The sequence below is a fragment of the Homo sapiens genome, chromosome 19 (genome assembly GCF_000001405.40).
Source record: "Homo sapiens chromosome 19, GRCh38.p14 Primary Assembly".
NCBI classification, from domain to species: domain Eukaryota; kingdom Metazoa; phylum Chordata; class Mammalia; order Primates; family Hominidae; genus Homo; species Homo sapiens.
Window position 1 is genome coordinate 328,172 of NC_000019.10, and position 19,519 is coordinate 347,690.

The 19,519-nt window shown below is 51.6% G+C and overlaps 1 protein-coding gene across 20 annotated transcripts in view, besides 6 other annotated features; it reads right to left on the reverse strand.

The window, feature by feature from the left end:
* Positions 1 to 16,625, reverse strand: part of MIER2 (MIER family member 2) — a 39,224-nt gene extending 22,599 nt beyond the window's left edge. For 4 of the 20 annotated variants that reach the window (XM_006722769.5, XM_047438971.1, NM_001387152.1 and 1 more), the window contains exons 1-3: positions 15,639 to 16,303; positions 7,912 to 8,002; positions 6,229 to 6,371 (exon numbers count right to left, since the gene is read on the reverse strand). In XM_006722769.5, coding sequence (XP_006722832.1) covers positions 6,229 to 6,371; positions 7,912 to 8,002; positions 15,639 to 15,653 — 249 coding nt within the window. In that variant the 5' untranslated portion in view covers positions 15,654 to 16,303. Of the gene's footprint in view, positions 1 to 2,092; positions 2,210 to 6,228; positions 6,372 to 7,911; positions 8,003 to 12,342; positions 16,304 to 16,602 lie in introns of those variants that run through there. The other 16 variants (NM_001387153.1, NM_017550.3, XM_047438970.1 and 13 more) reach the window with 11 other exon arrangements.
* Positions 4 to 204: a silencer, noted in NCBI's record as "peak3205 fragment used in MPRA reporter construct". NCBI's record gives its function as "represses an SCP1 promoter by STARR-seq MPRAs in K562 erythroleukemia cells {active_cell/tissue: K562}" and the evidence as "EXISTENCE:reporter gene assay evidence [ECO:0000049][PMID:32103011]".
* Positions 12,956 to 13,543: an enhancer, noted in NCBI's record as "H3K4me1 hESC enhancer chr19:341127-341714 (GRCh37/hg19 assembly coordinates)". NCBI's record gives its function as "activates a minimal SCP1, AML or CMV promoter by ChIP-STARR-seq in naive H9 embryonic stem cells {active_cell/tissue: H9 hESC(naive)}" and the evidence as "EXISTENCE:reporter gene assay evidence [ECO:0000049][PMID:30033119]".
* Positions 14,730 to 15,681: an enhancer, noted in NCBI's record as "H3K27ac-H3K4me1 hESC enhancer chr19:342901-343852 (GRCh37/hg19 assembly coordinates)". NCBI's record gives its function as "activates a minimal SCP1, AML or CMV promoter by ChIP-STARR-seq in naive H9 embryonic stem cells {active_cell/tissue: H9 hESC(naive)}" and the evidence as "EXISTENCE:reporter gene assay evidence [ECO:0000049][PMID:30033119]".
* Positions 15,990 to 16,099: a silencer, noted in NCBI's record as "silent region_9597". NCBI's record gives its function as "represses an Ori minimal core promoter by ATAC-STARR-seq in GM12878 lymphoblastoid cells {active_cell/tissue: GM12878}" and the evidence as "EXISTENCE:reporter gene assay evidence [ECO:0000049][PMID:35858748]".
* Positions 16,400 to 16,449: a silencer, noted in NCBI's record as "silent region_9598". NCBI's record gives its function as "represses an Ori minimal core promoter by ATAC-STARR-seq in GM12878 lymphoblastoid cells {active_cell/tissue: GM12878}" and the evidence as "EXISTENCE:reporter gene assay evidence [ECO:0000049][PMID:35858748]".
* Positions 16,520 to 16,969: a silencer, noted in NCBI's record as "silent region_9599". NCBI's record gives its function as "represses an Ori minimal core promoter by ATAC-STARR-seq in GM12878 lymphoblastoid cells {active_cell/tissue: GM12878}" and the evidence as "EXISTENCE:reporter gene assay evidence [ECO:0000049][PMID:35858748]".

Consider the following 19,519-nt stretch of genomic DNA (forward strand, 5'->3'; position numbering starts at 1 on the left):
TTACAATCCCTCAGAGGCACCAGAGCCTAGGGGTCACCGGCCAGGGAAGAGGGCACCACCCTGCCCACAATGCCTCCTTGCACAGGGTGAATTACAGGAATACAAGGATGGTGTGACACAGGGTGAATTACAGGAATACAAGGATGGTGCGACACCTGGCAATTTACTATTGTAACTCAACATCAATATATTAAAGGGGAAAAAAGTTATCTGAAAAAGGCATTTGGTAAAATCCGACATCTATTCCTGATTTGAAAAAAAAAAAAAAGGAACTCTCAGAAAACTACATAAACAGGCCAGACACAGTAGTTCACACCTGTAATCCCAGCATTTTGGAAGGCTACAGCAGGCAGATCACTTGAGGCCAGGAGTTCGAGACCAGCCTGGGCAACATGGCGAAATCCCGTCTCCACTAAAAATACAAAAATTAGCTGTGCTTGGTGGCATCCACCTGTAGTCTCAGCTACTCAAGAGGCTGAAGCACGAGAATCACTTGTACTCGGGAGATGGAGGTTGCAGTGAGCCAAGATCACACCACTGCACTCCAGCCTGGGTGGCAGAGTGAGAATCTGTCTCAAAATAAAAAAAAAGAAGAAAACTATGTAAACGGATGCTTCATCAATATAATGGAGAAGCTGTCAATTCACACTCAGTCAAAAATGGGTAACCAGAGCAGCCCCCATCACGATCTGGAACAAGAGCACTGTGATTAACGAACACTGTTTTGATGCTCTGAGCCAATGTAATATGACAAGAAGTATAAATAAGGCACGTAATTCCTGGGAAGGAAGAGATGCGAACTATCAACATCATGCTCTCCAGTGCTGCTTTCAAATCCTTCTGTCCTCCCTTGTGTGAGCCTCTATTCCACAGAGGCTAGTCCTGTCTGCTCAGACTCCACGCTGATCCCTGTGGGTCACTTTCAGCTTCCAACTTCCGGAACACTCCCTCTCATTCTCTCAAGATGTTAGCACTGGCCTCCCCTCCACCCCAGCTCCTGCCCAGACTCAACCTGGGGGCTTCAAGTCCACATAGAAACCTCCCAGCCTAGTCCCAGCCCTTCTCCAGGTGGAATATCTACACTGAGTCCCCCTTTTGTTCTCTCACAGGACCCCGTGGAAAGAACAGATTCTGTATGTCCATTACCTTCAGGATTATGAAGGTGGGAAGGTTGACACAGTGGTCCAGAGGCCCTTGGGTTGCCTGAACCTCTCCATAGTAGCCCAAGGTGAAGACCCTTTCCTAAGAGCACTCAGCCGTGACTTCCATTTTTGGCTTCATTGAGGCTTGCACTGATAGTGCAGCATTGGCAGCCGGCAAGAGCCCAGTGCCCGTGGAAGCTGCAGCCAGTGCATCCCTGCCCACAAGTCACTGCTGTCACATTCCTCACAGACCAAAAGCAAACACCCCAGCTTCACTTCAGAAGATGCTGGACAGCCGGGCAGGATGGCTCATGCCTGTAATCCCAGCACTTTGGGAGGCTGAGGCAGGCGGATCACGAGATCAGGAGTTTGAGACCAGCCTAACTAACATGGAGAAACCCTGTCTCTACTAAAATACAAAAATTAGCTGGGGATGGTGGTGGGTTCCTGTAATCCCAGGGAGAATCGCTTGAACCTAGGAGGCAGAGGTTGCAGTGAGCCGACATTGTGCTACTGCACTCCAGCCTAGGTGACGAGAGCAATACTCCGTCTCAAAAAAAAAAAAAAAAAAAAAGAAGATGCTGGACAAAGTGAGCATTTTGTTAAGTCTCACCCTGAGCAGATGTTTCCATGTGCTGTGAGGGCGTGGGAAGCATGCAGAATGCACCTGCTGCATACCAAAGTGAGGTGGTTCCTTCAAGGAACCACATGCATGGAACGAGTGGTGAGACGAAGAGGCTGTTCCTGGTCGTTTCACCTGAAAGAATGCTGGCCAACTATAGCCACTCAGAAAGGCACCTGGCAGGCGCTGCCTTGTATGCAAGCCAGGGGGGCTGTTACTGCAAAGGAAACAGCTGACCATAACTGCTGCAATGGTAAAACTCAAGATTTTGAAAAACTTGGGTTTGACAACATGAACTTGCCGAATTTCTAATATTTAAAAAACTTACAGGCCAGGCACGGTGGCTCACGCCTGTAATCCCAGCACTTTGGAAGGCCGAGGCGGGCGGATCACGAGGTCAGGAGATTGAGACCATCCTGGCGAACATGATGAAACCCCGTCTCTACTAAAAAAAATACAAAAAATTAGCCAGGCAAGGTGGCAGGTGCCTGTAGTCCCAGTTACTCGGGAGGCTGAGGGAGGAGAATGGCATGAACCTGGGAGGCGGAGCTTGCAGTGAGCCAAGATCGCGCCACTGCACTCCAGCCTGGGCGACAGCGAGACCCTGTCTCAAAAAAAAGAAAAAAAAAAAAAAAAAACTTATGATAAGGCTGGTGGTGATATCAACTGTTACAGTCAACCCTAAGCCCCAACATGACTATATTTGGAGACGGGGCATTTACAGAGGTAATTAAGGTTCAAGGAGGCCGTGAGGGTGGGGCCCTGATCCAACAGGATTAGTGTCCTTTCAAGAAAAACACCAGAAGGCTCCCTCTTGTTCTCTATCCACCATGTGAGGACACAGCAAGCCAAGAAGAGAGCCGGCACCAGAACCCACTCTGCTGGACCTTGATCATGGACCTTTCTGCCTCTTGACCTGTGAGGTTCACTGATACGGTCTCAGATTCCACTCCACAACTACTCTCTACAAAACTATCACTTGATGGGTTTTGCTGTAGCATCAAAGAAGAATACCCACAATTATCCGAAAAGCTGTGAAATACTCCTACCTTTTTCAACCACAGATCTGGCTGAGGCTGTATTTTAACTTCAGCCATAAGAGCCTATCACAACAGATCAATGTCTCCCTTAAAAGACAGAAACTGACCAGGCGTGGCTCATGCCTGTAATCCAAGCATTTTGGGAGGCTGAGATGGCAGGATCAACTTGAGGTCAGGAGTTCGAGACCAGCCTGGCCAACATGGTAAAACCTCGTCTCTACTAAAAATACAAGTTAGCCAGGCATGGTGGTGGGCACCTGTAGTCCCAGCTACTCAGGAGGCTAAGGCACGAGAATCACTTGAACCCAAGAGGTAGAGGTTCCAGTGAGCCCAGATTGCACCACTGAACTCCAGTCTGGGCAACAGAGTGAGACTCTGTCCCCAGAAAAAAAAAAAAAAGACAGAAACTGGGTCAGGTACAGTGGCTCACACCTATACTCCCAACACTTTGGGAGACCTAGGTAGAAAAATTGCTTGAGGCCAACAGTTTGAGACCAACCCTAGCAACATAGCAAGAACTCCACAAAGAAATAAAATAAAAACGTTGGTGAGGTGTGGTGGCGTGCGACTATAGTCCCAGTTATTCAGGAGGCTGAGGCAGGAGCATCCCTTGAGCCCAGGAGTTCGAGGCTGCAGTAAACTATGATTGCACCACTGCACTCCAGCCTAGGCAAAAGTGAGATCCAGTCTCAAAAAAATAAATAAATGTTTTAAAGACAGAAGCTTGGCCAGGCGTGGTGGCTCATGCCTGTAATCCAGCACTTTGGGAGGCCGAGGTGGGCAGATCACAAGGTCAAGAGTTTGAGACCAGCCTGTCCAACATGATGAAACCCCGTCTCTGCTAAAAATACAAAAATTTGCCGGGCGTGGTGGCATGCACCTGTGGTCCCAGCTACTCGGGAGGCTGAGGTAGGAGAATCACTTGAGCCCAGGAGGCGGAGGATGCAGTGAGCCAAGATCACACCACTGCACTCCAGCCTGGGAAACAGAGCAAGACTCCATCTCAAAAAAATAAAAAGACAGAAGCTGGATTTTCATATTTGCTTCTACATTCAAAGAGATATGGAAAACTAAAAATTCAGTCTTCTAATTTTTTTTCTTTTGGGACAGTTCTTTTTATTTTCATAAAAATATTTATATTAACATGTCACTGATTTATTCAGCCTCCTGAGTAGCTAGGACTACAGACGTGCACCACCACGCCTGGCAATTTTCGTATTCTTTTTTTTTCTTGAGATGGAGTTTCACTGTGTCACTCAGGCTGGACTGCAGTGGCACATCTCAGCTCATTTTAAAATGAGTTAGCGAATAAGTATTTTTACATGTCAATTTTTTTTGTTTTTTTGAGACACAGTCTTGCTCTGTCCCCCAGGCTAGAGTGCAATGGCCTGATCTCGGCTCACTGCAACCTCCGCCTCCTGGGTTCAAGCGATTCTCCTGCCTCAGCCCTTTGAGTGCTGGGATTACAGGCGCCTGCTACCACGCCCGGCTAATTTTTGTATTTTTAGTAGAGACGGGGTTTCACCATGTTGGCCAGCCTGATCTAGAACTCCTGACCTCAGGTGATCCACCTGCCTCAGCCTCCCAAAGTGCTGGGATTACAAGCATGAGCCACCGCGCCCAACAATTTTTGTATTTTTAGTACAGACAGGGTTTCACTACGTTGGCCAGGCTAGGCTCAAACTCCTGACCTCATGATCCGCCTACCTCGGCCTCCCAAAGTGCTGGGATTACAGGCATGAGCCACTGCATCCGGCCAATTTACATGTCAGTTTTAACTTTTCATGTAATAAAAAAGCAATAGATAAAGCACATTAACAAAGCTCCTTGAAACTCTAATTTTTTTTAATTTTTTTTTTTGAGACAGGGTCTCACTCTGTCGCCCAGGCTGGAGTGCAATGGCGTGATCTCGGCTCACCGCAACCTCCGCCTCCCAGGTTCAAGGGATTCTCCTGCCTCAGCCTCCCGAGTAGCTGGGACTATAGACGTGCACCACCACGCCTGGCTAATTTTGTATTCTTTTTTTTCTTTTTTGGAGACGGAGTCTCGCTGTGTCACCCAGGCTGGAGTGCAGTGGCACGATCTCAGCTCACTGCAAGCTCCGTCTCCCGGGTTCACGTCATTCTCCCGCCTCAGCCTCCCGAGTAGCTGGGACTACAGTCACCCGCCACTATGCCCGGCTAATTTTGTTTTTGTATTTTTAGTAGAGACGGGGTTTCACCATGTTGGCCAGCCTGATCTAGAACTCCTGACCTCAGGTGATCCACCTGCCTCAGCCTCCCAAAGTGCTGGGATTACAAGCATGAGCCACCGCGCCCAACAATTTTTGTATTTTTAGTACAGACAGGGTTTCACTACGTTGGCCAGGCTAGGCTCAAACTCCTGACCTCATGATCCGCCTACCTCGGCCTCCCAAAGTGCTGGGATTACAGGCATGAGCCACTGCATCCGGCCAATTTACATGTCAGTTTTAACTTTTCATGTAATAAAAAAGCAATAGATAAAGCACATTAACAAAGCTCCTTGAAACTCTAATTTTTTTTAATTTTTTTTTTTGAGACAGGGTCTCACTCTGTCGCCCAGGCTGGAGTGCAATGGCGTGATCTCGGCTCACCGCAACCTCCGCCTCCCAGGTTCAAGGGATTCTCCTGCCTCAGCCTCCCGAGTAGCTGGGACTATAGACGTGCACCACCACGCCTGGCTAATTTTGTATTCTTTTTTTTCTTTTTTGGAGACGGAGTCTCGCTGTGTCACCCAGGCTGGAGTGCAGTGGCACGATCTCAGCTCACTGCAAGCTCCGTCTCCCGGGTTCACGTCATTCTCCCGCCTCAGCCTCCCGAGTAGCTGGGACTACAGTCACCCGCCACTATGCCCGGCTAATTTTGTTTTTGTATTTTTAGTAGAGACAGGGTTTCACCGTGTTAGCCAGGACGGTCTCGATCTCCTGACCTTGTGATCCGCGCACCTCGGCCTCCCAAAGTGCTGGGATTACAGGTGTGAGCCACCGCGCCCGACAATTTTGTATTCTTAGTAGAGATGGGGTTTCACCATGTTGGCCAAGCTGGTCTCGAACTCCTGATCTCAAGTGATCCACCCGCCTCAGCCTCCCAAAGTGCTGGGATTACAAGCGTGAGCCACTGCACCCAGCCTGAAACTCTCAATAATTTTTAAGAGTACAAAGCAGGTTCTGAGACCAGAAGATTTGAGAGCAGCTGGCTTAATCCTTGACCACCGTGCTGCTCAGAGAGCCCCATGAAAGACCTGGTCTCCACTGAATTTCAGCTACTAGGACAGCATCTGGCACTTTGCAAAAAGATGTACAATTTAGCACTTACCAATGTGGAATCTGAGCTGCACAAAACTCATGAGGCTTACCCCGGAGGGCTCCACCCAACACAGGGGCAGGATCACCTTGGCCAAGTACCTGGGAGATGAAGTCCTTCTCCAGCTCCTCCTTGGGCTTGTCTGGGCACCTCGAGGCCTCCTCGCACTCCCCCCTAACACTGTAGTTCTGTGACAGGATCTCTGCGAGGTTGAACTGATGGTCTCCAGAGCCCATGGACACCACTGGGGAGAAGAGAGCAGCCCAGGTGAGCACCGTGCCTCGCCTGTCCCAACCATCCTGCCGAGACTACTGACGCCTGGTGAAGCCCTAAGGATGAGGCCCTCTGCATGCTGCCAGGATCAGCCTCATGAGGGAACCCAACAGGACACCCCACGACTAATGCACACAGGAGCACGGCTGGTGAGCTGCACATACAAATTCCAAGGATTTTTTTGGGGGGTGGGTGTGTCTCTTTCTGAGAGACTGCTTGTCTTCCTGAACACAGAGAAGCCTGCGAGGATTTGGGGAGCAAGTGGACTAGAAAGAGACCAACACCCATCTCGTTAGGGTAGAAGGAGCAGCAGGACTCAGTCGAGGTGGGTTCACACCGGACTCCATGACTCCTGAAACGGGGGTGACGCTGAACCCTCACCTGCACAGGTCAGTACAGCATCAAGGAGCATGCAGGGACAAACCAATGGGGGCTCGACAACACCAGTCCCTTAAGCTCCGTCTGCAGGGCCACATGAAGAAGACATGCGATGTACATGGCCCAACAGTTGACGGCTGTCATCAGATCCAGGGTTTCCCCGAAAGAACTGGGATGTGTCACCATTCCTCTGCATGTTTACTCTCCAATTGGTCAAATTTTTAAACAAACAAAGGAAATAGCTAGGGCTCAATCAATCCAGACAGAGAGCAGTGTAGGCCAAGGCTGGGGGCCTGAGGGCCTGGGAGTCCAGGGCACGAGGCCTCTAGGGCAGCCACACAGCCTGTAGGGCTGGGCACACAGGTGTGCACCACACACAGCCCATGCACAGAACATGCAGCTGCAGGGCACAGAGGACCCCCAGCGGCAGGCACCTCGTTAGAGTGAGGGAATGACCTGGAGCTGAATGGGTGCGCCCGGACCCTCAGTGGCCACCGCACCCTTGGAGGAGCCACGTGAGGGAAAACAGGGATGGCACCGCCTTCTCTGGGGACTCGGGTGGTGACTAGTTTGATACGGAAAGAGACGCAGCCCTACACCTGGCAGAAGGAGCCCAGCCAGGGGAAGAACAGTCATAGAGACCCTTGCCCTACAGCGTCAGCTCCTCCCCGCAGGCCCAACGCAGGTGGCTGGCAGGCGGGCATGGGACCTTGATGCCCACTGGGCAAGCAGCAGCGCAGGGAGGTGCAGGGAACCCGGGGTGCTGCCTGTCTCGCCGCCCTCCACCTTCTCAGCCCCGGCTCCCTCAGCAAGCCACCCCTTCCCAACACCCTGGCAAGATGAGGCAGCCCTCAGCTCGGTGCAGGCGTGTGCCCGGGTCCTCTGCTGGGGGTGCTGGGCTCTGAGGATGGTCTTGGGTCGCCTGGGCTCCCTGCCCCTGCTAAAGAACAGGAAGACGGGAGTCCTGACCACTCTGCCCCACAGCTCCATCTGAACGGGTGGGAGCTGGGACACCCTGGACTCTGGAAGCCAGTGTGCCGGTCCACAGCTCAGCCAGGCCCAGCAGGCATTCTGTCTCTCACAGCCACAAAGGCCTTGGCGGACCTGAGCAGGGGAAGGAGGGAGGAAGGTACCTGCTGTTGTCTGCAAGCCCGGCTCCCCTGGGCACAGGCTGTGCTCGAGGCAGGAGACCACGCGAGGACTCTGCCTCCCCAGCGAGGAGGCCTGCGAAGGAAGAGAGGCAGGGTTAGCTCGGCCGGCCCAAAACCTGCTGCTGGACATCACAGTGTGGCAGCCAAGAGCAAGCGCTGGTCAGAGCCCAGTCCCCAGTGACCAGGGAAGGGGCTTTGTCTCCGCCTCTGAGGGCTGGGGGGCACTAGGAGCAGCACACGCATGTGGCCGCCACTCGCCCCGCCTCCCACCAAGGACCGCTCACAGGGTGGAGGCGTTCTCGCCCAGGGCAGGACATGCATCATGTGACACTGAAAACTGCCCACACACAGGCCTACAGTCCTGACCCATGCTGCAACCTGGATGAAGCTCAACAACAGCATGCACTGGGAGGGAAGCCAGACACCAACGGCCACAGCGTAGGGTCCACTGATACCAAACATCCAGAACAGGCCAGTCCACAGACAGAATGGGGGCTCGTGGGGGCCAGGAGCCAGGGAGAGAGACAGTGGGAGAGTGACTGCTAACGGGGACAGGGCTTCTTTTGGGGATGACAGAATGTTTTAGAATCAGATAGAGGTGATGGTTGCATGGTCGTGAATACACTAAAAATCAATGAATTATAAACTTTAAAATGGGCATATTTTATGGTTTGTCAATTACAATTTTTTTTTATAAAAAGGCAAACAAAACCATTATAAGTTACCATTATCACAATGTTCAATATCTCTCTTTTTTTTTGAGACAGAGCCTTGCTCTGTCGCCCAGGCTGGAGTGCAGTGGCGCAATCTTGGCTCACTGCAACCTCTGCCACCCAGGTTCAAGTGATTCTCCTGCCTTAGCCTCCCGAGTAGCTAGGACTACAGGTGCGCACCACCACGCCCAGCTAATTTCTGTATTTTTACTAGAGATGAGGGTTTCACCATGTTGCCCAGGCTGGTCTCAAACTCTTGACCTCAAGTGATCCGCCCGCCTCGGCCTCCCAAAGTGCTGGCATTATGGGTGTGAGCTACCGCAAGCCACGATATCTCTCATGTACATAAACACAAAACCCTCAACAAAATACTAGCAAACTGAATCCAGCAACACATAAAGATGATTATAAGCCACGACCAAGTAAGATTTACCGCAGGGATGCAAGGTCGATTTAATATCCAAAAGTCAATTAATATAATACATCACATCAATAAAATAAAAAAACAAAACACAGGATCATCTCAACATACCCAATCCAACAAAATCCAACATACTTTCATAAGGAAAAATACCCAACAAACTCAGAACAGAAGGGAGCTTCCTTCTTGGAAAAACCCATACTTATCATTGCCCTCAATGGGGAAAGGCTGCTTTCTCCTTCACACCATGAGCACCACAACGTGTACTCTCACCTCTCATGCTAAATGGAGGGCTGGATGGTGTAGTCAGCGTAAAAGCATCAAATAAAAAGAATCAAGATCGGTAAGGAAGCCGGGCACGGTGGCTCACGCCTGTAATCCCAGCACTTTGGGAGGCTCAGGCAGGCGGATCCCTTGAGGTCAGGAGTTCAAGACTAGCCTGGCCAACATGGTGAAACCCTGTCTCTACCAAAAATACAAAAAAATTAGCCAGGCATTGTGGCATGTGCCTGTAATCCCAGCTACTCAGGAGGCTGAGGCAGGAGAATTGCTTGAACCAGGGAGGCGGAGGCTGCAGTGAGCCGAGATCGTGCCACTGCACTCCAGCCTGGGCAACAGAGCAAGACTCCATCTCACAAAAAAAAAAAAAAAAAAAAAGGCTGGGCGCAGTGGCTCACGCCTGTAATCCCAGCACTTTGGGAGGCCGAGGTGGGCAGATCACGAGGTCAGCAGATGGAGATCATCCTGGCCAACAAGGTGAAACCCTGTCTCTACTAAAAATGTAAAAATTAGCTGGGTGTGGTGGCGGGCACCTGTAGTCCCAGTTACTCGGGAGGCTGAGGCAGGAGGATCGCTTGAACCCAGGAGGCAGAGGTTGCAGTGAGCCGAGATCGTGCCACTGCACTCCAGCCTGGCAATACAGCAAGACTCCATCTCAAAAAAAAAAAAAAAAAAAAAAAAAAAAGATTGGTAAGGAAGAAGTAAAACTATCTCTGTGCTGGTGCTGGTGACATGATCTAAAAAACTATTCAAACTACAGTGAGTTCAGCAAGGTTGCAGTACACAAAATCAATACATAAAAATCAATTTTATTTCTATATAAAAGCAACAAATACAAAAAGAACAATTCCATTTACAATAGCATCAAGGGAAGTGTGAAATGTGTACAGTACTCTGAGTGAACAAAGCAGTGTTGAAAGGAAGATCCAAGGGAATGTAAAGGCATCCCACGTTCATGGCTGAGAAGACAACATTAAGACGGCAACACCCCCCACTGATTGACAAATTCAACACCATGTCTATCAGAACCCCAGTTGGCTTCTTTGTAGAAACCCACGAGCCGATTTCAAAAGCATATGGAAGCTCAAGGTACCCCAAACAGCCCAAACAATCTTGAAACAATACTTCCTGATTTCAAAATTCACCACAGAGCCACAGCAATCAAAACAGTGTGGTACTGCCATAAGGACAGCACAAAGATCAACGAACTAGAACTGAGAATCCAGAAATACAGTCACACATTCATAGTCAACTGGATTTCCACAAAGGTATCAAAACAGTTCCATGAAGGAATGAACAGTCTTTAACAAATGGTACTGGGACAGTTGAATATCCATGTGCAAAAGAATGAAGTTGGACCCCTATCTCATACCATATGCAAAAATTACCTCAAAATGGATCAAAGGCCTTAAATATAAGAGCCAAAACCACACAACTTTTCGGAGAAAATATATGGATAAATATTTGTAACCTTTTGATTGAATCTAAAAATGTGGTGGGAAAAAAGTTTGTGACCTTGGATTTGGCAATGGTTTCTTAGATAAGACACCAAAATCACAAGTGACCAAAAAAAAAAAAAAAAACCAAATGGATAAACAACTTCACCAAAATTAAAAACTTTTGTGCTTCAAAGGACGCCCCCAAGAAAGTGAAAGGACAACTGAGAGAATAGGAGAAAATATCTGAAAAATAATCTATCTGATAAGGAACTTCTTCTCAGTATAAAGAACGTTTAAAACTCAATAAGGAAGAGAGAATCCCATTGAAAAATAGGCAAAGGATCTGAACAGACATTTCTCCAAAGAGGACAGACAAATGGCCAATAAGCACAGGAAAAGATACTCAATGTAATATCAGGCAAAAGCAAGCAAAGTCCACACTACGATACCACTTCCTAATCAGAGAATAAAAACTGTGCTCAAAAAGACAGTAACAAGTGTTGACAAGAACGTGGACAAAGTGGAACTCTCCTGTGCCCTGCCGGTGGGAATGTCAAAATAGTGCAGCCACTTTGGAAAATAGTCCAGCAATTCCTCCAAAAGTTAAATAGTATTTAACCATGTGACCCAGGTCAGGGTCCTAATATCCATCAGCTGACAAAAACAAAACAAAGCACTAGCAACGGGGCAAAGAAGGACGCACTGACACACTACCACATGGACGCACCTCGAAAGACTCATGCTCCTGAAACAGCCAGACACAAAAGGCCACGTGTCGTATGACTCATTTAATCTCAAATGTCTAGAGCAGGCAAATTCGTAGAGACAGAAAATGGATTCCTGGTGGAAAGGGGCTGGGAGTTGATCTGGGGTTTGGGGAGTGACCACTAAGGGGTGTGGGGTTCCTTTTGGGGTGATGAAAATGTTTTAAAATTGACTGTGATGGTGGCTGCACAACTGGGTGAATACACTAACAACCACTGAACTGGACACATTAAAACGGTGAACTGCATGGTAAATGAATTATACCTCGGGAAAGCTGCTGCCAAAAAGGGTAGATTAAAATATTTAATGAAGTTTAAAAACTTGTGTAGTAAGAATTTCAATACTTCTTCACGGGTCCTCAAGAAAAAACCTCACAGGTGGTATAATCATTCCCCTCACAAAAAAACAAGGAAACAAGCTCAAAGAGATAGAGTCAGTTACCCAAGCTCACACAGCAGGTTCAGTGGTGCAGTTACAAAGTGGAGCTCAGGCCAGCGGCTTGCAAACACCTTCCAGCCCATCACACTACTGGGGAACACAACGGCTAGTACAGTTGACCCTTGAACAACGCAGGGGTTACGGGTGCCAACCCTCCACACAGGTGAAAACCCATGCATGACTTCTGACTCCCCGACACTTGATTAATAGCCTCCTGCTGGTCGGGAGCACTGCCGATAACATCAACAGTTGATAAACACATATTTTATATATTGTATTATGTACTGTATTCTCACAAAAAAAGTAAACTACAGAAAAAGTTATTAAGAAAATTGTAAGAAAGAGAAAGTGTATTTACTATTCATTAAGTGGAAGTGGATCATCCTAAAGGTCTTCGTCCTCATCATCTTCACGTTGAGTAGGCTGAGGAGGAAGAGGAGGGGTTGGTCTTCCTGTCTCGGGGTGGCAGAGATGGAAGGAAATCCATGTATAAGTGACCCATGCAGTTCAAACCCGTGAGGTTCAAGGGCCAACTGTACAGCAACGTACAGCAAAGCCACGGAAGGGAGCTGGGGCAGCCACTGGCCCTGGAGTGACTCTGGCAACAAGGCTGCCAAGGACCAAGGAGCACCTCAAGCTCTAAGTGGAGACTGACAGGACCCATCCAGCTTTAGAAAGTTTAGCTCCGTGGTGGCAGAGGGCAAACAGAAGACAGAGGGAAGGAAGAGCCAGCAGGGCCCCCAGGGGGAAGGGGCCACGGGACTGGAAGCAAGCAGCACAGAGTGCATGGCAGCTGCAGGGGCATCTCACGCCTCCTGCCCTGGGGTTGGCCTGGGTCTGGCAGAGATGGCCTCACCTCTTTCCAGGACACAGCAGGTGGCCACCAGCCCACAACCACTCTACACAGCCACACGCGGTGTGAAGCCACAGGGAAAGCATCCTAAGTGACCTCTGAAATCACCCTCAGCCCCCTCTAGGACCCTCTGGGTAGGGGTCGAGGACAGGTTCTCTGGGCAACGGTTCCTGCCTCAGTCAGGGGCTGGCTTTCTACTCCCGCAACCAGGAGCCTGACTAACAAGGGGATGGCAGGCGACCACATCAAATGAGGCCCCAGTCTGGACGGCAAGTTGACAACAGTCCCGCAGGCTTGAGATCCACACCGAGTAACAGGGAGTTAACATATGGCCCCAGGAGAGGTGGTCTGCAGGGTCTGAGGAGGATCTGGCCCTTATATGACGTGCCATTTAACAGGAGAGCTAAGGCAGAGGGGGGCAAAGAGGGAAGCGGCTGGGAACGGCAGAAAGGGCCGCTAACAGGGAGGCCCTGAGCAGCCTGGGATCCCCAAGTTCATTTCCAGGCGACTCTGAGTTCCTGGAACTTACCACGGAATACAGACTTCATGGATCTTCTTCCTCCCGCTGCCCCTGCCTGGTGTCCAGGTGCAAGTCTACTCTCAAAGCAGGTTCCCAGGGACTCTACTTCACTCACTCAGAACACTCTGCATGTTTCCCTCTGAGTTCACTCCCAGGAAAGACAAAGTCCTCTGTTTTGTCAAAGTGGAAGCAGGAAAAAGAGGGGGAGCAGGCCAACGGTATTCCAGGCAACAAAAAAAGCAAAGGAAGCGTAAACAGCATTCTAGAAACAAGGTCCAGAGGACAACAGGCCACAGACCCAGGCGTCCACCAGGGTCTTCAGGCAGTAGAAGCGGCAGCCAGCTACTCAACATAAAGACTGCACCAGAGGACTGGGTGCAGAGCACAGACCAGCCCTTCCCCCAGGGCAGCCCCCACAGGTATAGAGTGCACCAAAAACACAAGAGGCCACCCTGCAAAGCTTAACCCAAAATGACAGGGTGGCAGGTTCCATTCGCCAAGATGGCTGCACCTACCTCTCCCATGCCCCAAGCCCTCTCCCCAGTGTGACTGAAACAACCTCCTCCTAAGAGCCATGCTTGACCCTCCTCCCACCCACACCAACTCAAGTGCCAGGCGCTTGTTGGACTACCCAGCACCCCACTCCTCCGTCTGACCAATGTTCCCTGGGCGCCCACTCTGGGCTCAGCAAGGCAGTGGCGTGGTGGTTAACCTGAGAAACAAGTTCCACCTGCCTCCACCCACATGGAGTTGCTAGTTTTGGACACAGACAACAAACAAGTGGACATGTATGGTACCGAGAAGAGAAAACAGGGCGCACGGGCTCTGCAACTGCGGGTCAGGGAAGGCCTGGGGGGCCTCAGTCGAGGTGGAACCATCGTTGGCAGCCCCCAAATGGGTAGAGTGCACCAGCAAACAGGAGCCCAGGGCCCTAGAGTAGGGGGCAGATCCGTGGGGACCACCTCACAGGGCTGTGGGACTCAGCAAGGAGGAGCATTTTATCCCAGGGACCATGAAAAGCCATGGAGGGTTTTAGGTAGGAGCAAAAGATGGTGCTCTTAGGTTTTTAAAAGATCAATCTAGTATGCCTGAGAAAAGTATGAAGCATTCCCGTCTGCCACTGTGGTGCTTATGATTATTCTGGGATACTGATACAGAATAAAGTAGCTAGTACTGATCACGTGCTATAAAGTTACAAATTGCCACTTTTACGGGTTAAAAACAGTGGAATATCGTCAACTTCACAAGATTCAACTTCCATGTACAAGCCGTTGTGGCAGGACCTCATCAGACCTCCTAGCTCTGAAGGGTGACCATTAAACTTCCCATTTCAGAGATGAGGAAAAGGAAGTTCTGAGTCACTGGGCAACCTGCCCAAGACCACACAGAACAAGTCCGGTGGTCAGACAGCTTGCCATGGCTCCTCACGCTCAGCACCTCATACTTGTTGGTCCTAACCCACCCACGTCTCTCTCTGACCAGACTCTGCATCCCTGTAGGAGAGGCCCTGTCTGCTCCATTCACTCCCAGATCCTCAGGCCGAGGACAGAGCGGGACCTCCTTAGAAAATCAAATCAAATTCACTCAACAGGGCACCACCCCAAAGTGTAAAACAGGGTTAACAGGAGCAGCCGGACCACAAGCTGCTGTGCACATTTACGGAGCTCAGCCTAGAGCAGGGCAGAACAGCCACATGGCAGCTCTGGGGGAGGCTGGCTTGGGAGTCTGACTTGTGCCATCCCAGACACAGAGCTACCTGTCAGGCCACGTGTGTTGCCCAGATTCCAGGAGCACAACTCATTCGACCACCACGTCGCTGCAGGGCCACTGGGAGACGCGGCTTCTGCCTCCGACCCTGGAGGACAGCCACCATCTGCATGGGGACTCAGTCTCCCTAAGCGTCTCAAGAAGAACTAATTCTCGATGAAGGAACTGGCCGGTGGTCTGGCCTAGTATCGAGACACCTACACCGTCTTTGGCATAAACACAGGGCCTGTTACTGCCCCTGAGGTCGTCACCAGGGGGAGAGAATGGCCAGTCCTGCCTCCCACAACGCCCAAGACATAAACACGCAACGTGGCACCACGGCCAGGCCGCAGTTCCAATCCCGGCTTCCCACGAGGCGGCTGTGCCTGGCTGGGTGGGCACCTTTTCCTTTGGGCTCTATCCCAGAGATAGGATCAGCTCTTGAGTCTGCCCGCCTGTCGTAACTTCTGCGCACAGAAGTCATGCACTGAGTCCCACTGACTGAGCACCTCGCAGCCGCCGCACCTTCACCTACATTATCTCTTTCCATCTTCACCAGGGCCCTCCAAGGTGAAAGCAAGTCCACACAGGCTCATCCACCACTCCAAAATCAAAAAAAGCTTCAAAAGCGAAAGTTTCTTCCTTCCTGGTTTGACCTGACACGAAGCTATCTGTTGTCTTATCCTAGACAGTCCTAGGTGGGTTTGATCAAACATCACAGTCCAAAATCCCACAGATCCTCAAATTGGAAAAATTCTGGATTCCAAAATATAGCTGGTCCCAAACATTTCAGATAAAGGGTCCCGGGCTTGTTTCCTGGACGAGGGAGGAGGCTCCAGAAGTAACTTCGTGCCCGGGAGAGGCTGGTCCAACTCTTCTGAGATCAGCCCCGACGCTCTCTAGGCCCCGGCAGACCCACCCACCCTGCGCCCAGTTCGCGCCAGGCGGGTCCGCGTCGGGAGTTCAAATCCCGCCCGGGGTCTGACCCAGCCCCGCCGGGGGGCTCGCGGGCGGCGGAGGCGCGGTGGGTCCACCGGGATCCCGATGGGGAGCGCGGGGCGCCTGGCGGCCCCAGCACTCGGCAAAGTTGGCAAAGGCGCGGGAGGGGAGGCCTGCGCGCCGCGGGGCCCGGGCCGGGGCCGGGAACCGGAGCCGGACCCTGGAACGGAGCCGCGCGCCCACCGGACCCCCGACACCAGCCCCGCCCCGCGTCCCTCCCCTCCCCCACCCCGGCCCCCGCCCGCCCCGCGCCGCCGCGCATGCGCACTGCAGCCCGCGATGTGGCAGCCGGGGGAGTTGGGGGGTGGGGGCCGGCCGGGGGCGGCCGCCGATGGAGCCCCGCGCCCCTCCGGCCCCGGACGGGCCAGGCGCCCCGGCCGGCCTCAGAGCTCCAGAGCGGGGCTCTCCGTCCCTGGGGCCCACGACGAGGCCGAGCCACGGCGGCGGGGGGCGCGGACGCGCGGGGGCGGGGGGCCGGCTCCCCCGGCCCGCTCACTCACCTCCGCCATGGCCGTGTGTGCGCGGGAGGCGGTGGCCGCGCCGGGATCCCCGGATGAGGGGCCGCGCACTCATTGGCTGTGGAGCCTGGAGGGCGGGGCAGGGGGCGGAGCCTGGAGGGGGCGGAGAGCGGGCCGGGCGCGTAGTAGGTGCGCGGGCGCGGGCGCGGGCGCGCAGCCGAGCGTGGCCGGCGGCTTCTGGCGAGCTTGCGGTGTCTTTCCGGCCGTCTCTGCTGGACCCTGATCTTGGCCTTGGCCTTGGCGGAGGAGACTGCATTCCATAAAAATACGAATTCCTGATAATCACACCTGCGTGGGGACCACGTGGTCCTGTGTGACCTCTTCATTCCCTCGGCTGCTCGCTGTTAATACCCCGCGTGGCAGACTAGGAAACTGAGGCCCAGGGCGACGGGCCACCCAGAGTGTCAGTGATAGAGCCAGAATTGGTGTCCGGGCTGCGTGGTTCTGGAATTTTCTGCACTTTCGCACCCGTGATGAGCAAACTAGCGCGCGGAGGAACCAATCGGGGAGCTTGCGAACGCGCACCAGTCGGAGAGGTTTTAGAAACGGTGGCCCCGCGCCGGAGAGCCCAAGGCGGGAGGCAGGGAGGTGGGCTTGACCCCAGGGCCATTTGGTTCTGCAGTCCGTCGTTTCGCAGATTGAACATTTCTGGAACACGTGCACGTTCTGATCCTGAGGGTTTGAAGGAGACAGCCCTAACGCCTGTCTTCAGGGCGTTTAGAGTGGAGGATGGGAAGGCAAGGACTCGCCACACCTTAAATTTGAGACGGATAAGTGCCGTGAATCTTCGGGGCGCACGATGCAGAGAGAGGATAGGAAGCAGGGGTGGGGCGTGAAGAGGCAGGGGCCAGGTGGGAGCTGTGGGGCCTGGACCAGAGTGCAGAGAGACTTGAGAAGGTGGACACCACAAGACTCGCTGATGGAGGGAAGCTGGAGAGAGTGAAGGATGGCCTCCAGATGTCTGGCTTGCGCAAATGAGTGGAGGGCGGTTCCTACTGAGACCAGGAAGAAGAGAACTGGAGACCAGGAAGAAGGGAATTGGGGACCAGGAGGAAGGGAATTGGGGACCAGGAAGAAGAGAATGAGTCTCATTCCTGTTTCCCAGTGATCAGCCAATGAATAGTGAGAACTTGACATGCATCAGCCTTGATTCCTGATGCAAAATCATTACTCAGTCCTCTGAGAATTCACCAACCAAGAGATAGAAGAACCACTCTGGAGGGGTCTACCCTCACTCCTTTTTTGGTTTACATCATTGAGATTGAGGGTTCTGGCCCTCGTGTTGAAGAGTCCTCACTGATTTGTGCAAGAGTTGGTTCCTTCCTTTATTATTCATTTGTTATTATTCATTCAGTCATTCAGTGAACTAAACACATATCTTATGCAGTCCTCAACTGGGTGCTGGGTAGCCAGAGGTCCTGTGAAGCAGGGAGAAGCATGAACAGATAAGAGAGTGAGGTGCTGTGCTGTAACAGGTGGAGGGGCCCGAAGACAAGGGCTTGAGTCCACCTGGCAAAACGAGGGAAGACTCTTAGGAGAGGGCTTGGCAAGAATCATCACATAGATGTCAAATGAGGACTTGGGTGAAGAGAAGGGTATTGTGGCTTGGAACGGTGACTCACACCTCTAATCCTAACACTTGGGGAGGCAGAGGCAGGAGGATCACTTGAGGTCAGGAGTTTGAGACCAGCCTGGGCAACAGGGTGAAACCCTGTCTCTACTAAAAATACAAAAATTATCCGGGCGTGGTGGCGAGTGCCCATAATCCCAGCTATTCTGTGGAGGCTAAGGCAAGAGAATCACTTGAACCTGGGAAGGCAGAGGTTGCAGTGAGCTAAGATCACTGCACTCCAGCCTGGGAAACAGAGTGAGACACTGTTTCAAAAAAAAAAAAAAAAAACTTTAAACATTAGAGGGCATGACGATAATGTGCCTGTAGTCCCAGCTACTCTGGAGGCCGAAGTGGGAGGATCTCTTGAGCCCAGGAGGTCGAGGCTGCGGTAAGCAGTGATTGTGCCACTGCACCCCAGCCTGGGCAACAGAGTGAGACCTGTCTCAAAAAAAAAAAAAAAAAAGAGTGAAGGATATTTTAAGGTCTGAAAGTCTGTCTCCGTAGACTGTTAGTCGCAGTGGAGAAATGAAGCCACTTGTTGGGTGGGTGATAAAACTCAGCATCCCTGGTAAAGGGCAGGTGCACACCATGTGCACCTGGATGTGGTGTCCAAAGCAGGACACGGCATCACTGAATCCAGCCAGCAATGCACAACCCATATCTACATATGAGGAAATTTCAGACAAACCCAAATAAGGAATATTCTGTTAAACAAAAGAGGGACTGTATTCTTCAGAAATGTTAATGCCACAATGGGGCGTGGTGGCGGGTGCCTGTAATCCCAGCTGCTCAGGAGGCTGAGGCAGGAGAATCACTTGAACCCGAGAGGCGGAGGTTGCAGTGAGCTGAGATTGCGCCACTACACTCCAGCCTGGGCGACAAGAGCAAAACTCCATCTCAAAACAAAACAGGCCAGGCGCTGTGGCTCACACCTGTAATCCCAGCACTTTGGGAGGCTGAAGCAGGAAGATCACGAGGTCAGGAGTTCAAGACCAGCCTAGCTAGCATGGTGAAACCTGATCTCTACTAAAATAATACAAAAAATTAGCCGGGCGTGGTGGTGCACACCTGTAGTCCCAACTACTCGGGAGGCTGAGGCAAGAGAATCGCTTGAAACCGGGAGGTGGAGGCTGCAGTGAGCCGAGATGGCACCATTGCATTCCAGCCTGGGCGACAGAGCAAGACTCCGTCTCAAAAAAAAAAAAAAAACCACAGCGACAACAACAAAAAAAAGTTAATGCCAGAAAAGATAAACCTGTGTAAATCTTTTTTTTTTTTTTTTTTTTT